The 16,201-nt window shown below is 37.7% G+C and overlaps 2 protein-coding genes across 4 annotated transcripts in view, besides 3 other annotated features; one reads left to right on the top strand and one right to left on the bottom strand.

Moving 5' to 3' along the window:
• The window catches only part of LOC107986837 (uncharacterized), a 45,778-nt gene that overhangs the window by 15,934 nt on the left and 13,643 nt on the right, over nt 1–16,201 (bottom strand). The window lies entirely within an intron of this gene.
• Nucleotides 11,555–11,694: an enhancer, noted in NCBI's record as "active region_26521". NCBI's record gives its function as "activates an Ori minimal core promoter by ATAC-STARR-seq in GM12878 lymphoblastoid cells {active_cell/tissue: GM12878}" and the evidence as "EXISTENCE:reporter gene assay evidence [ECO:0000049][PMID:35858748]".
• Nucleotides 11,555–12,183: a biological region, named in NCBI's record as "H3K27ac hESC enhancer GRCh37_chr7:112758380-112758974".
• Nucleotides 11,589–12,183: an enhancer, noted in NCBI's record as "H3K27ac hESC enhancer chr7:112758380-112758974 (GRCh37/hg19 assembly coordinates)". NCBI's record gives its function as "activates a minimal SCP1, AML or CMV promoter by ChIP-STARR-seq in naive H9 embryonic stem cells {active_cell/tissue: H9 hESC(naive)}" and the evidence as "EXISTENCE:reporter gene assay evidence [ECO:0000049][PMID:30033119]".
• SMIM30 (small integral membrane protein 30) lies at nt 11,954–13,790 on the top strand. 2 transcript variants are annotated; one of them, NM_001352688.2, is made up of 3 exons: nt 11,954–11,980; nt 12,347–12,440; nt 12,901–13,790. In NM_001352688.2, the coding sequence occupies exon 3, from the start codon at nt 12,930–12,932 to the stop codon at nt 13,107–13,109; it is 180 nt and encodes a 59-aa protein (NP_001339617.1). In that variant the 5' UTR covers nt 11,954–11,980; nt 12,347–12,440; nt 12,901–12,929; the 3' UTR covers nt 13,110–13,790. The 2 variants fall into 2 exon arrangements, with proteins under 2 accessions (NP_001339617.1, NP_001339616.1); NM_001352687.2 differs by having other exon boundaries at nt 11,954–12,068.

Raw genomic sequence — 16,201 nt, 5'->3', positions numbered from 1 at the left:
AAGTATTTTTTTTTTGTTGTTAAATAGCTATTTTTTAATGAACCGGAGACTTCACAATATTAAAGCTTAATCTGGTATAAGCCAGTTGGCATCAAGATAAACTATACCTGTCCAATTTAGAAGAATCATTTAAATAAAACATCTAAGGTTCAACTCTCAAACACAGTATCTAAGCTATGGTTTTGAGTGTGACATGTGGGAAAAGAGGTAAAGTATGACTATTCTCTGCTTGCTTTGATGGTACAGAGGTAACAAGTATGGTAAGCACAGTTTTAATTAACCTTTCCAGAAGAAGCCATAATCCACATGGATTTTTATTAATCCTCCCTGCCAACCTGCTATTCTATGCCATATATAGTAGACTGCAGAAAGCTGAGCTACGTTACCAAGCGTGGTTGGAACTATGATGATCCACCCAGGTTCCCTCTTCAGGGTTAAAGCCTACTGCCCTCAGCTTTGAGGAATACCATCTGGTAAAAGCTTACAGATGTAACCCTGACAGAGAAATGCTCTTGGCTACAAGCAACTACCTCACTAAATACTTCTCAGGGGAGAGCCACAGTCAATGCCCAACACACGCCAAGGAATAAAGTCCCCTTTGCTTCAATTTGGAACAATTCTTAGAGACATCTCCTTTCCAGAGCTCCCTGTAAGCTCTCCCAAGACCTCAGTTGCATTGTGAGTCAGCTTTCCCCTCTACCCTATCTTCCTTTTCTCATCTCCTCACAGGTGCAGTTCTGGAGAGCACATCTCAAAAAATCTTTACATATAACTCTTCATCTCAGAATTCTACTTTCAGCCAGCCTAATGTAAAACCCACCTCTATAATTATGTAAGGCAAACACGGTGGCATATAGTAGTTTTGCTGACTTTATCAGTAGCTGGTCCTAATATCAGTCTTGGTCTTCCATTAGAAATCTGAACCTATTCACTGAGACAGAGACAAGATCTGGAATTTAATCTATGCTAAATGGCTCCAATTCCATTTAAATGCAACAAAATTTAGAAGCCAAATCATTGGTATTAAAATTTATCTAATTTTATCATTACCCAATTATAAGAGGGGTAAGAGTCCAGAAGAAATTCTCATTGAAAGAGCACAAAAAGAAAAGGATAATAAGAATGATTTATCCATAATAGATTACCATGTTTTCATAGATAATGGGAAATGTATTTTGTTCAACTTATAAAAACCCAGTTGGGCCTTTTCTAACCAAAATAAAAAGAATGGTTACAATAACATCTATTTTTCATGTTCTCAATTAATCTTTTAAAATCTGCTTTGAATGTTAATGAAAAGTTGCCAAGGAATCAACCGATTCTTTTATTTCATCCACTTCTCGATCCACAGGGTCTAAAAGGATTCTAGGTTTGGAGGCTTTGTCTTCTTGATTTTGAGTATTGTTGTTGTTTTAGTAGCACTACTTTGAAGAGTAGAAATTAAATAAGTTGGTCCACCTGACTGTGGTCTCATTTTTCTAAGCCGATGAAAACCTAAGCTTCTTTTCTAGAACATTTGGACACAAAACAAACTAAATAGAAAGGGAACCCCAGAGAAAAAATGGTGATGTGCCTCTCTTTTAAGACAATATAATTTTTAAATATACATAGACGTTGTCACACAGAAAAAAAGCAGTATTGCCCACAAAAATAAATCTTGTTTTTTGCTTGTTTAAGTAGAAATTCTATCAAGTACAGATAAAGCACTAACTTGACCATGGTTTCTTATAGCCAAATGCCAGGGCCTTACTTTTCTTGGGGAAAGGGGTAGATGCAAATGGGGACAGAGACCCATTCTTTTATGTTTTCTGGGAGCGGGGAACTCTACTAGTCCTGAATCTGAAGTTAGCTCCAGAGGCAGCCAAACCTTGAACTCTAGCTGGGTCTGAGTTTGCTGTGTTAAGTCTGCTTGGGACAAGCTTCCAGCCGATGGAGAATTCACCAGACCTTGTATCCTTAGCTTCCTAAGTGCACTGGTAGTTCCAGGCCCAGACACTGCACACAGGATTCACCACCCATGTAGCTGTGGCTTGCCACCTCCTTCCAAAGCTCTTGGAAAGCCCAGTGTGGCCAGGCAGAAGGACATGGAAGGTTCCTAGTCCCCATTACAGTCCATAGGGCTCTAATAGGTGGCAGCTCCAGGTCAGAGACACTTTCTGGAAGGGTTCTGATGTGAAAGTACCTGGACTTCATCCAGCACTTCCCTCTACTAGGTGCTGCCAACCCTGAGTTTGAGTCAGGCCTCAGGCATGGTGAGGCATCTGATGTCTTAGAAAAGTGGAGCCAACTTTGAAAACTGGGCTGGAAAGTTACCATTATTAAAGGTTTGATTTGACTCACCATGACCTGGTCCAGGGTGGACCCATGGCATGTGATCTGTGCATTCACATGGGGCCCTGCACTTAGAAGACTAACGGGTCCAGTTTAATGCTCTTGTATCCCTGTCTAGAAATCCTTACTTTTGACCAAGAGGCCCCACATTTTCATTTAGTATTGGGCCTAGAAAATGTACCCAGTCCTGGCCTGGCCTTTATTAAGGCCATATTTAGACAAAATAATTGCCAACTTAACAGAAGGACTGCATCAGCCATTCACCACTGTGCGTGTGTTTGTGTGTGTGGGGGGTGTGTGTGTGTGTGTGTATGTGTGTGTTTACAGAAACTGAAAAAATGTTTTGGGGTTTTTGTCTTTTTTTTTTTTTTCTGTTTTTGTTTTTGTTTTGTTTTTGAGACGGAGTCTCGGTCTGTCGCCCAGGCCGGCGTGCAGTGGCATGACCGAGGCTCACTGCAAGCTCCGCCTCCCGGGTTCACTCCATTCTCCTGCCTCAGCCTCCCAAGTAGCTGGGACTACAGGCGTCCACCACCACACGCAGTTAATTTTTTGTATTTTTAGTAGAGACGGGGTTTCACCGTGTTAGCCAGGATGGTCTCGATCTCCCGACCTCGTGATCCACCTACCTCGGCCTCCCAAATCGCTGGGATTACAGGCATGAGCCATCGTGCCCAGCCTTTTGTCTTTTAAGCAGAGAGTTGCTTTAAAAATTATAAAATACTTCATCAAGATATTAAAGGATAGGAAATGTTAACACAAACATTCAATGTCTAACATTCACTTGAGATCAATCAGAAAAAGAAGACTATCTTTGAATATATAGTCTAAATCAAGAGAAAATATTACATATTTACAGAAAATCTATAAAACACACATCTTTATAGGAACATCTGTCTTCCACTGGATAATGTAGGCCAGCACTCTAACTTCAGTCTAGGAAATAGTTGCACTTTTACTTCCTAACATTGCTCATGCCACATAACACTTCTCATTACCATAAGACAAACCATGCATGCTCCATTCTAGTGAGGAAAAGTGGCTGAGGCTGAAAACTTTCAGGATTTTGGAAAAACACTTGTATGGGGAGATCTAAGGCCTAATTCTGGTACTGCAATTGTGTAACCGAGGACCTGACAAGATCCCAGCAGGTGTAGTTTCTTATGGAAGCACCAAGACTGTGGCTAGAATATACTATTTTAATCCCAACTGAAAGTAAAAGAAATATTTGACACTTGGGGATAAAAGAAAATGATTGAGAAGAGTCAATGTAGCCCTCCTCTCACTGTTGTGCTTCAACAAGGGAGGAACACAACAATAACCTGCTCACTTTTGAACTTTTGTAGTCATTGCAATCTTTCCTGTCTACTGATTATTGTTTCATTTACAAACGAGAAACATTTTATATAATCCAGTACTGATCACATATTTAATCTTTAACTTTGTTTTTCTTTTTCAGGTTTTTGCTTCCCTGAAGAGCTGAGCATCTAAAGAATGTGATAGGCAGTGTCAACGTGCTTTCAGATCTTTACACTATACATATTTTGGTACCCACATGCTAAAAAGTCAAATATACTTTGATTTTCAATGCTTAAGGGATTTACTCACTCAAAAATTAAATTAAAATAGCTCATCTCCCAGAAAAACAGAACTTGTTTAGAATAGGACGAAATAGGAAAACCTACTTTGGCCTAAGATTGAACCATCCAGAAATGTATACTACAATGACTTGATATACACAAGACTGTTGAGATCATTCTGACTCACGGCAAAAAACCATTTTGTAGGTATTCCATTAGAAATCCACTTTCAGGACATATCACATTCAAAAGCTTGATCAACCTTATATCTTGATCCTCAGATTATAAACCGTTGCTGGTATAAATAAAATATACGAAACCCATTTTTCATCTGTTCACTGTAGCCTACATGATATTTTATGAAATTAGTATCAATTACACAGGCTGATGTTAAAATATTAACAACAATATTAAGAATCTATCATATATATTTAGGTATATATAAATGTTAACAAAATATTAACCAAAGTTTTCAGAAGTAGAAAAAAGTCTATTTTTCTCCTAGTTTCAAATAAAGAAATATAGAAATTCTTAAATACTAAAAATAAAGCCTTTGGAAAGATAAATAACAGTGTCTCAGAGATTCTTAAAACAAGCTCTTGTAATGAGTACCAGACAACCAGCACAGGACTTGTGGGTGGGTGCGGGGAGGAGATAAGAGAATCAGAAAATGCCAGGTTTAGAAGGAAGCTTCAAGGACATCTAATACGACTATCTTTTTGAAGTCTGAATCCTTTCTACAACATCCTAGTCAAGTGTTCATTAAGCTACCCTTCTGACTGATCAAGAGTTCACTGCTCACTGAGGCAGCCAATTCCCTCTTAGAATATTAGAAGAGCTTTTTTTTCTATCAAGCTAAAAACATGCCCATTACTTTCCCCCACTGGCCATCTAGAACAGGTCCAATTTCTTTCTTTTATGGTCTCTCCTATGGGATGAGCCACTGAAAATGGCAGACATTCTCATTGAGTCTTCTCATTTACATCCCATGGTTTTTCAACTATGTTCTTCAACTAATGAGTTTAATCTCATCATTATACCGTTAATATCCAGTTTGTTAATGTTTCTATTAAAATAGGAACCCATAAGAGAACAGCAAACTGCTGGGCATAGCCCACACTGGAAATAGCAAAGCAAAGCTTCCCTCCCTCTTCTAGATAATTCACATCAATTCCTGCAGCCGAAGATCATAATCACTGTTTTGGTGGCTATGTCATACATGTTGATGCAAACTGAGCTTTATGTTGGCTAAAATCTTAAAACCTTAAAGTCTTAGCTTTTAACTTATTCAATAAGTATTTGTGGATTGTCACTATGTGGGTATTACAATACTAAAAACAGTATGAGAAATCAGTGTGATATAACCAAAAGAGGTAGGATTCTGGGCCCAAGCCCCACTTTATCCAGCTATATCTATGTAGGAAGGACAATTGTTAGAGCTACTTAATTTTCATAATAGGATAACTATCTCACTACTTTCATAATAGGATAACTATCTCTCTGTTCCAAAGCATATGGATGGGCCCTTAGCCAGCAATTTAGAATACTAGCACTCCAGGATATCCAGCTCTCATCCAAATACCTACTGAGAGAAGAAATGTTCAGGGAAGATAGGTCCAAGACCTTACAAATTCAATCTTTGGTTAATGTTGTCACCAGAAACATACATATTGGGAACCCACAACACCTTTCTGATCAATTTCATTGACTCACATTTACTACTTTGTCCTAATCTTTGACAGAGGTTGTTATGAGAAATAACCACATAAAATTCATATCCACATTGTTATTTTTTATAACTGAGGTACTGTCCATTTTGTTACTCAGAGTCCTTCTCAGTGCTAGCAAAGGCTCTGTTCTCTTCAAGGAATCAGATGGTTCTGATTTTTAATGATGGAAATCATTAGAATGGTTTTACATATTTAAAAAATTAAATCTTAAAGACAGGACCGGGCGTGGTTGCTCATGCCTGTAATCCCAGCACTTTGGGAGACCGAGGCGGGCGGATCACGAGGTCAGGAGATCAAGACCATGCTGGCTAACACGGTGAAACCCCGTCTCTACTAAAAATACAAAAATTAGCCGGGTGTGTTGGCGGGCGCCTGTAGTCCCAGCTACTCAGGAGGCTGAGGCAGGAGAATGGCGTGAACCCGGGAGGCGGAGCTTGCAGTGAGCCGAGATTGCGCCGCTGCACTCCAGCCTGGGCAACAGAGCGAGACTCCGTCTCAAAAAAAAAAAATAAAAATAAAAATAAAAAAAACTTAAAGACAGAAATGAAAGGCTATAAGAAATGATAAGAAAAAATGTCATTTGATACATATACAAATAGTAAAAAGTATTTGTATTTTCCACTTCATCAATAACTGAGAAGGGATCCAGGAAAGCAAGATGAATAATTCTAACTGGGTCTTGTTAAATGCATCATTAACTTAACGTCAGGTTAATGTCATTCAGTTGCCCCTATGTCACCACTTCCCAAATAATCAGCCTCCATAAAATGGCAAAGGCTCTAAGACCAAATGAACCTAAGAACTACCAGGAGAACTTATTTTAAAGTTTTGCATTTTAAAATAAATTCCCCATATAATTGGGATGCAAGTGAAACACAGAACACACTTTGAGAACACTCTTCCAGGACCAATTTTGGATAACTTGAATAAACTCTGTCACTCTTCCCTGGATCCTCTACTGTCTGTGTAGGTCCCTTTTAATGTCTGGTCACCAAAGATACGTACGGTATTCTATTAAGGAGTTACTGAAGCAGGGCAGATGAAAGGATTATGTCCCTTCCCTTATATAGCCACCACAAATACATTCACGAGTGTTGATAGGCATGCTCGCAAAAGCAGTGCTTCATTCTGGCTGTCAGATTGAGGTCAATTACTTATTTTGACTCTCCTGAGATACGAGAGCGTAAAATGCATTAAAATGAGTCCAAATCAAAATCAAATGAAACTATAGTGTTGTACCGGACTTTTTCCTCAACTGAACCAGTTGCAATCTTTTTAATATAACCTATTCCACCTTTAAGATAAAGAAATTATCTTTAAAGTAAAATGGAAAATCTGGCAACCTCCTTGAGTAAACTTATTCTTGCAGAAAGTAAGATTTTTGTCATTTTAAAAATTATAAAGATTTTTAATTCAAACAACATTACTTTAGAGTATTTACAGACAAGTAGTCTGTTGTCTTAATGGTCTCAAGGAATAGATTTATAAACAATCAAAATATTACAAGCAAGAGTAAAGAAACTTTACTATTGCCATCTCACTCACCGTTTCATAGATAAGTAAATCATTCCGTGACACAGAAACTGATGTTTTACCATAAAGTGTTCTACTTGGACCACCTATGTGATTTAGCAAAAGAAAGAAATTTAGAAACTAAAAGTGACTGATCACTTACAGTATGTCAACTGGAAATTCACAATAAATGTCTACATAAAAGGTTCAAGTACTCATTTAAGCTTCCAGAATCAATTTAAAAGTAACCACTTCCTAGATACTGCTAACCAATACATTCTAGCCTTATATACACTGCAACATGTCTAGATTGACTCAAAAAGGTATTATCAAATGAACAAAGTGAGATATCCAAAGTGTAAATTCAGTTTCTCAAATTGAGTGATTTTACTCAAAAAATGGCCAGACAGAAATTTCATAAGTCTTTCAATTCAAGGGAAATCAAGCTAAGACTGGTTGGGGCAAGATTCACTGTCCTAGGCTATTTGCATTTTCTATCCAGCATGTCTTTAATTTTATAAATTTCATGCTGTTTGTTTCCATGGTTACCAGCTCTTAATCATAATGAGCACCTGGTCTACACAGGGGAATTAATATTTCCCTGTGAAATGCACATACTGAATTGTTAGTAACCTCCCTACATTTTTGCAGGGACTAGTTTAAACTCTTGACCCCTAGCAAAGATTTTCTTTTTTTTTTTTTAACTTTTGAGCTTTGGGGGCACATGTGCAGGTTTGTTACATAGGTAAACACGTGTCATGGGGGTTTGTTGTACATATTCTTTCATCACCCAGGTATTAAGCTCAATACCCAATAGTTATCTTTTCTTCTTGCAAAGATTTTCAAAGGGTCTCTTTAACTTTCTTTTTGAATTTTGTATATTATATGGACTTCAGTTATTTCATGATAATTGAAATTTTCCAACATTTCACAATCTATGTTGACAGGGAACATCTATGCTCGTTAGTATGTGTGCTTTTGCGCCTGGGTCAGATATACTTCAATTTTTAAAAAAACACTTTTTTGTACATATTTATTAAATCTCAGTCAAAATCCACTGATAAATTAGGTGAATACTGGCACCCCCTCATTCACCACACTAGGGCCTAGAGGGAAGTACACAAACACCAGCAACCCCTCAAGTAGTCAACATGATTAGGCTTCCTAAGCGACATTAGAACACCTTATTAAAAAGAAAATTAAAATGGTTTTTGATCCTGTGGACATTTTCCACATAACAGTATGTGGACAATGATTAAAAGTATAAAGTTTGTCATATTTCCTGGATATATACCACTCACTAGTTATGTGACCTGGTGTAAATTACTTAACTATGCCTCAATTTCTTCATCAGAGAATAATAATAGTATCCAGTTCACAGGATTATTTTAAGGAGTAGAGGGGCTTATATTTATTAATGTGTGGAATAGTTACTGGTGCATATTAGTCACTATTTTAAGTGTTTGTTAAATATAAATGTCAATCAATCAATCTGACCCTATGCAGCATGAAACCATGTTTTCTAAGAAAATCTTTTTTTCCATAATAAATGTTTGTTCATCTCTCATGATGTAAGCTAATTCTGATTTTAAATTTCCTTGTGTAGCACTTAATAAATATTATTTGATCAGCTACTTCCATCTCTGAAAGGTCGTCTGTTGCCAATAATAGTGTCACTTACACTGACCACACTGAGCCACTTTACATGTCACCTCATTCAATCTGCATTAACAACCCTATGAAGATTGGTGATCCCCTTATTACAGATGAGAAAACTCAAGTTTCAGGAAGTTAGATAATTCGCACAGGTTTACAGAGTTAGAAAGTGGCAGAGGTAAATTTGGAATCAACCTCTGATGATCTCCAAACCCTGTCTTAATCAGTCCATTACCACGGATAAAGTGCTATATAGATAATGTCACAACTTTTCAAAACTAGAACTTTGTCATATCCAGTAATTTTTAACCTACTCCAAGAAGATCAGCAATATAAATAAAAGTGGAATCTGTCATGCCTATGAGTGGGGTTTCTCTACTTCCCCATCCTCCACAAGCTTCCGTGTGTGATTGATTCCCACAGACAAATGACGATCACCAGTGGGAGTAAGGACCACATACATAATGGGCTCTAGGTGGTGCCTGGAACTTTGCCCAAAATGACCTTTTGCACCTCTCCCATACACTTCTGTAAATGCTGGTACAAGAGGTACTTAGCCTCAGGAGACGTTTTCTGCAGTAGTTGAACAGCTCTGGAAAGTGTAGCTTCTCCCATCCTTTTGACCTAATGAGTAGTTAGTTCTAACATTCTCAGTGATTAGTCCTATTAATGATGGGAAATACTGACTAGGTCTGGGTTGGTCTTTTTTAATTGTGAAGCTCCAGTAAAATGTTTCGACTCACTTGGCTTGGCTCAATTGCTAATGAGGAAGTCTGGGTTTTATAAATTCCCTGACACACACCAGTCACTGCAAAATCCTGATATTGGCCTGTCCTGCATCCTCTGATGGATCCCAGAGGTGCCTTCCTTCAGGGCCTACCAATGACTCACTTCTAACAGAAAAATGAGCAGAAGCCACTTCCTTTTTTTTTTTTTTTTTTTTCCTGAAACCATTTCTGGGTAACAACTGATGGAAAATTTTGCTCTCCACTGCTCAGGTAAGTAACTAAAGTAAAGTGCTTTAAGTATCATTGGTGCCATTGATCTCTATTTCAGTAAAGGATGGTGTAGGTGCAGATTTGTTTGAATCGAAAGACTAAATTATGGATTCTATAACCCTAGACACTTAGTGTCAAAAGAACAACTACATAGAAGCCTGTAGAAACATTCATACAGCTTGGGAAAAATGGGAGTGTAGCATTGCTTCAGAAAATTGGTGGTTCACATTGCTACCAGAGATGTTCACAGGCAGAACTTGTAGTTGGCAGATGACGGACACAGAAGCAGCTTCTCATCTATCATCGCCTTTTTTAGAAGAGAGACCAAACATGTACAACATGGCAGTTATTATCCTGGTCAGCAATCTAGCCAAAATATCTAACCTGGTTTACAGCTAGGAAATAACAGTTCACTGAGATAGAGTGAAGGCATGTTAAAAATCACACAGTAGGAGCAGGTCAAAGCAGTGAAGGAGATTATCATATTCATGGTACTCCAGAAATTAATCCTTGCAACTACATCAGCTATTACTGGAACCCCGCCCCCGAGATCGACATTTCCCAATATAATATATATTTCACAAACTAATAAAAACCATCATAATTTAAAGAGAAAGTTTCTTGCCACTTACAGACTCTTTAAACTTAAAACCAAACCATTATCTTTAATGTTGACGTGCCTAGAAACAAGTCTGTAACAATACTAACTTTAAAGTAGTCTCTGCTGACTTCAGCTAACTAAAATAAACACATAAGGAAAAATAAACATGTAGGGAAAAACAAAATGTTCACAGTAGGATATGAGAGAATATTTTGGAAGCTATAAAAATATAACTCCTATTCCAAATATAATTGATTACAAAGGCACGAAAGTAGCTCAAAACAAAGGATGAAATGAACAAAACCTTGTTAAAATAATCAAGGTTAGAGAAACAATGCTGACGTTATTGTGCAGTTATTCTCAGATTTCCAATTTTCTAGTCACCTTGGTTTGGTTTATTTGGCACCTCTCGGTCTCTCATAAGATCTTGTTGGCATATTTATCTAGTCAAATCATTATTATTATTAGGCAACATTACTGAGCACCTGCTGGGTGCCGGTTAGGAGCCAAGAATATAAATCTTTGCTAGAGAGACTAGGAACGTGTAAGAAAAAGGGTAACCGACAACACAAGAATACATGCTAATTATTGGCATTGAACTGAACGTACCTGCATTATCTAACAGACTGAACCAGGGGACTTTCAGACCAGGCAGGTGGCTTCACACCCAACCCTCATCATTAATAATTTATAATGTAAGGATAGCAAATAAATTTTCAAATCAGTAAATATGAAAGAGTTCAGAAGATCAGATGACTAGAAAGGTTCAGTAAGGAGTTCACAATTAGCAGACAATTGAAAGAGCGCCTTTCAGAAAGGTTACGACTTACATATACAAATAACTAATTCTTGTTTTATGATTTAAAAGCAGTATTTTTACATCTTTTCACAAATATGTAGGGACATTTGGGGCTGAGGTTTCACAAAAACATAGGTGGGAAGGAATCACCGCAGTGCACTCCTGAATAGATTGTCACTTTAGGACCTGAATCCTGAGAGATCTTCTGCAACAGGGCTAAACCCATTTTTCCTAAACTTTATTTTGCACTACAAATGTTTTTTAACCTTTTACGATATGTCTTATTAACCGCGCTTTTTCCCCATTGACTAAAAAATTAATAAATGGCATATGTTTCATTAGGAAGATGGTGACAGAGATTTCCTGCTTCAGAAACGTTGGAAGCCACTGGTTTAAAAGCACCCGGAACAGAGGGCTGTACTTGGGTTCTCTCTCCCCGCTGTGTCATTTCAGTCGAAGAAAAAGACAAAATTACATGTGCGCCTTACAGACTCAACAGGGTAGAAAACACTTGCTATCATTTCTTTTATTTTGAAGTGAGCTTTTATATAAACACACGAAACCATCTATTTAATAGTAAAACGTTGGGCAGGGAAAGGAAGTCCCGCGCGTTCGCGACTCTTCGCCTCCGCTAGAGCGTGACCGTCACGCCCTCTGCTACTTATAGGGGGAACGCGCCGGGGCATCATAGGAGTCGGCGGCGGCAGGGATTGTGGGAAATGTAGTTTGGAGACTCCGCCCTCCTCGCCATTCCTGTAATGGCTGCTTCCTAGAAGGTAATGTACGAACTCGTCTCCAAAGGATACTTAGGTTGCACCAGTGTATTTGTAAAACAGGAGCAAATTTGGACCTTGCCGGGCCAAAGTACGAATTCTTTTTCAAATCTTAATATCAAGTCCTGAAATGAAATTATCTCTGTTCTGTTTCTTTTTACCTTTTCTTGTGTGGGTGAACTGACCAACTTTTAAGTCTAGTTCCCTGTTGGACAGACTTTTCTCAACTCATTACCTATCCCCCTACCGTCCATATGGCCTCCACGCTCTGCACTGACTCTAGCTGCCTCTTTAAAATAATAATAGTAATAATAATTAATTTTTAAATCCTTCTCTCCGCCCCCTCCCCACCCCCCATGCTAATAATAGGTCGTGTCACGTGGAACCTCTTAATCTCAGCATCCGGAGCTCCAGGAAGGGAAAATTTCAAGTCAGATAGAATTCTATATATACCATTTCTTTGGTAAGTCTTATTAATTCCCCACAACTTCGCAGAGTTATATGTTGTGTGACTTTTGCCAAATTTGTCTGCATTTCTTGGATGGGAGAGACCCTAAGAAAATGTACAATTTTTACCCACTAGGATATTTTAAGTTTCCAAGTTAGTGGCTCGTGCTTTTTTTCTGTTTGTTCTTAATTATGAACTCCTGTTCAATTTTTGTTTGGTTGATGCACGAGGTGTTGGCATTATCGTGGAAAATTCCTGGGTTTAGAGTGTTATCACGAGATAGGGAGATGAACCTCAAATTACTGTCTTTAACGTCCCTCTGTTTTTCCACCTATAAGATGAGGAGATGGATTGGAAATGATTCATAAAGTATCCAAAAGATTGGCTGGCCTGTTATTTGTCATGTGTTCATTTTGTCATTTGAAAAGGGAGGAATTTTTAATGGTTCCTTTTTGTTTCCATGTTTAATTTCTAGGAACCTTCAGCCCTCAAGATTCCAACATCATGACCTCAGTTTCAACACAGTTGTCCTTAGTCCTCATGTCACTGCTTTTGGTGCTGCCTGTTGTGGAAGCAGTAGAAGCCGGTGATGCAATCGCCCTTTTGTTAGGTGTGGTTCTCAGCATTACAGGCATTTGTGCCTGCTTGGGGGTATATGCACGAAAAAGAAATGGACAGATGTGACTTTGAAAGGCCTACTGAGTCAAACCTCACCCTGAAAACCTTTGCGCTTTAGAGGCTAAACCTGAGATTTGGTGTGTGAAAGGTTCCAAGAATCAGTAAATAAGGGAGTTTCACATTTTTCATTGTTTCCATGAAATGGCAACAAACATACATTTATAAATTGAAAAAAAAATGTTTTCTTTACAACAAATAATGCACAGAAAAATGCAGCCTATAATTTGCTAGTTAGGTAGTCAAAGAAGTAAGATGGCTGAAATTTACATAAGTAATATTTCATAATCTTAGAATTCTCTCAAAGCATGTGAAATAGGAAGAAGGAAGTTCTTGCCCAGAATCTTAGGAAATCACCACTGTTCGGTTATAATCACTGCCTCCTGAATCGTTGAGGAGTCTTTTAAATTAGATTTTTGTTTTGTTGTCTCCCAAGTTAATATTATATTTAGATATCAGAGAGTCAGGCAAAAAGGAAAACTTTTATCTCTAGGGAAAAAACATTTAGAAAAATGTATTCAGTGTATCTAATACTGAAATGCGGAAAAAAATTTAATGTTAAAAAAAAACTATAGACATTGACATGGAAAAGAGATTTAATGTTTTGAAAAAAAACTTTATATTAACTGAGTAACATCCTCCTGATGAGAAGTACTATATTAAATATAAACCCATTATGTTATAAGTTAATGTTTCGTGTCCATTTCTTATTTGGGGCTGTTTGTATCCATTGTGGATTTTTATATGAGCTAAGTGGAGAAGGGCAGGATGCCTTGTGTTAACTGATTGCGGTAGCTTGAAGAGACATAATGAGAACTGGGCAGCATTAAGGTCAGAGAAGCCCCTGATAGAAAATCTAGAAATATAGAAGGAAAATGAAATGGCTTAAACTGATTTGTACGCCAGCCAAACGAAATATCCTCTCTGGCCTAGCTACTTAAAGTGTCTTCAAGCCAGCAACATCACCTGGGGCTTGTTAGAAATGCAGAATCTCAGGCCCCACCCAGACCAATTGGATCAGGAACAGCATTCGTTTCCAAAGCCCAAGTTAATTTGTATGCACATTACAAATTTAAGAAGACTGCCAACTTGCTTGAGCCCAAGAATCATTCCAGGCACTTGATAAGACTTTTTGATTCCCTGGTCTTTCTCCTGGTTGTATAGCTGTGAGATGGGGCCTGGAACTCCATGTCTAACAAGGGTCCTCAGTGATTCATTTGATTCTCAAGTTGTAGCCAGCATAAAGTAGTCTAAGGAAATCAAACTTTAGGGTCACACTGGAGGTAAGTAGTGAAATTTTTTCCTAAAATGCATTTTCCAATCTGTAGCTCTCCAGATGACATTGGGAGCCTCATTTTTTATCCAAAAACAGGCACTAGCAACCTAAAGTCCTGTTTATGGTGTAATTCTAGAGTGAGCTGACTTGGCTTGCATGAAAGTTTTGGTTAAAGTGTACAAGGAGTGAAGAAGCATCACAGAATAAAGACATGGAAACTGAATGCACTTGTTTTTGTCACAGCTGTTTCGATTTTTTGCTAGAGGAAGCACTAACAGTCTTTATTCAAATTAATTGGCAGTTAAACATTTCATAATTAATATAGCTTGATTGTACCTGCATTTTTTTGTGTGTTTTAAAGAAGGAAAAAGGAATGATGCAAGTTATAGAACAATTGTCATCTCTTATACTCCAGCCCATTGGGTGCTGATGTAGAAAGGCTGCTGCGGCTTCCTTGCATGTCAACTTTTCCATTGGGATGGGAGAAATCAAACCTAAAGTACATTTTAAATCACAGTGCAGTAGTCACTTAGTCACCTCCAGGTACTGTTTTTAAAATGTTCAAAATAAGACTATAGGCAAACATTCTTTGGTCAACGTGTATTTCCAAAAGTGCCTAGAAAGAATTAGAAAACTGCCATTTCCCTATTTTCCCCTTAAAAGTAGAGAATTGTCTTGAGGTGGCATGCAGGAATTTTGATGGATATGATGGGGGAACACCTCCTCTAAAAATAGCCTCATTTCTCATCTATTTAGGTTGGATTATATGGCTTTGCCTGAAAAGAACAGAACCCTTATGGTGGCTCTTAACATTTTTAGGCCACCAGTTCCTTTGAGAATCTGATGAAAGCTATCATCTTTTTCTTTAGGAAAATTCCCATGCATGCTGACATTTTTAGATTAGTTTCAGAGCTGAAGCCCATCCAGGATCTTTCCAATTCTAAAATTCCTTGATTTTCTATGAGGGATAACACCTGCTGTGGAGCAGTTACAGCAAGAATGGCATTAGCAAATATTCTGATGCCCAGCACAATTTGTAGATATCTAGTAAATGCCTTGTGCATGTTAGCTCACTGAGTTGAGTTAAAAATAGTTGAGATCAAGTGAAGAATTTAAGGTCCTTGCAAATACTTATATTTCTGTTCTCTGTAGTTTTAATGTAACCAGCTTAGTTCTCTAATGCTAAAAATCAGTACATTTCCTGCATCATTTCTCTCTTAACTGCTTTCATAACTCTTCTTTGTCATTAATTTTTAGAAGTTTGTGATATATCTCGGCATGGATATATCTTTGGGTTTATCCTGTTTGGGGTTCACTCGGTATCTGAGACTTACAGTTTTATTCTTTTTTCCCAAATTCAGGAAATTTTCAGCCATTCTTTCTTTTTACAAAAATTTCGCTCCACTTTCATTCTCCTTTTCTTCTAGGACTCCAGGGACCCAATATTAGATATTTTTGTTATAGTCTGATGCATACCTAAGGCTCTATTTATTTTTTCAGTCCTTTTTTTCTCTTATTCAGATTGGGTAATTTCTAGTATTGTATGCTTAAGTTCACCGTTTCTGCTGTTGTATTTTTTGTTCAAAACTTTCCATTTTGTTCTTTGTGTCTTGTGTTTCTTTGTGGAGACCTGTTTTTTCATTTGTCTCAAGCATGTTTGTGATTGTCACTGAAGCACCTTTTCATGGCTGCTTAAATCCTTAATAATCCTAACATCTCTGTCACCTCGGTGTTTAGCATCTGTTGATTGTCTTCTCATTCAAGTTGAGATCTTCCCAGTTCTTAGTATGATGATGATTTTTCTATTGACATTTGGACATTCTGG

Source organism: Homo sapiens, chromosome 7, assembly GCF_000001405.40.
Source record: "Homo sapiens chromosome 7, GRCh38.p14 Primary Assembly".
Lineage (NCBI taxonomy): Eukaryota > Metazoa > Chordata > Mammalia > Primates > Hominidae > Homo > Homo sapiens.
The sequence above is the reverse complement of the archived record's forward strand: the minus strand, read 5'-3'. Positions and strand labels throughout refer to the sequence as shown.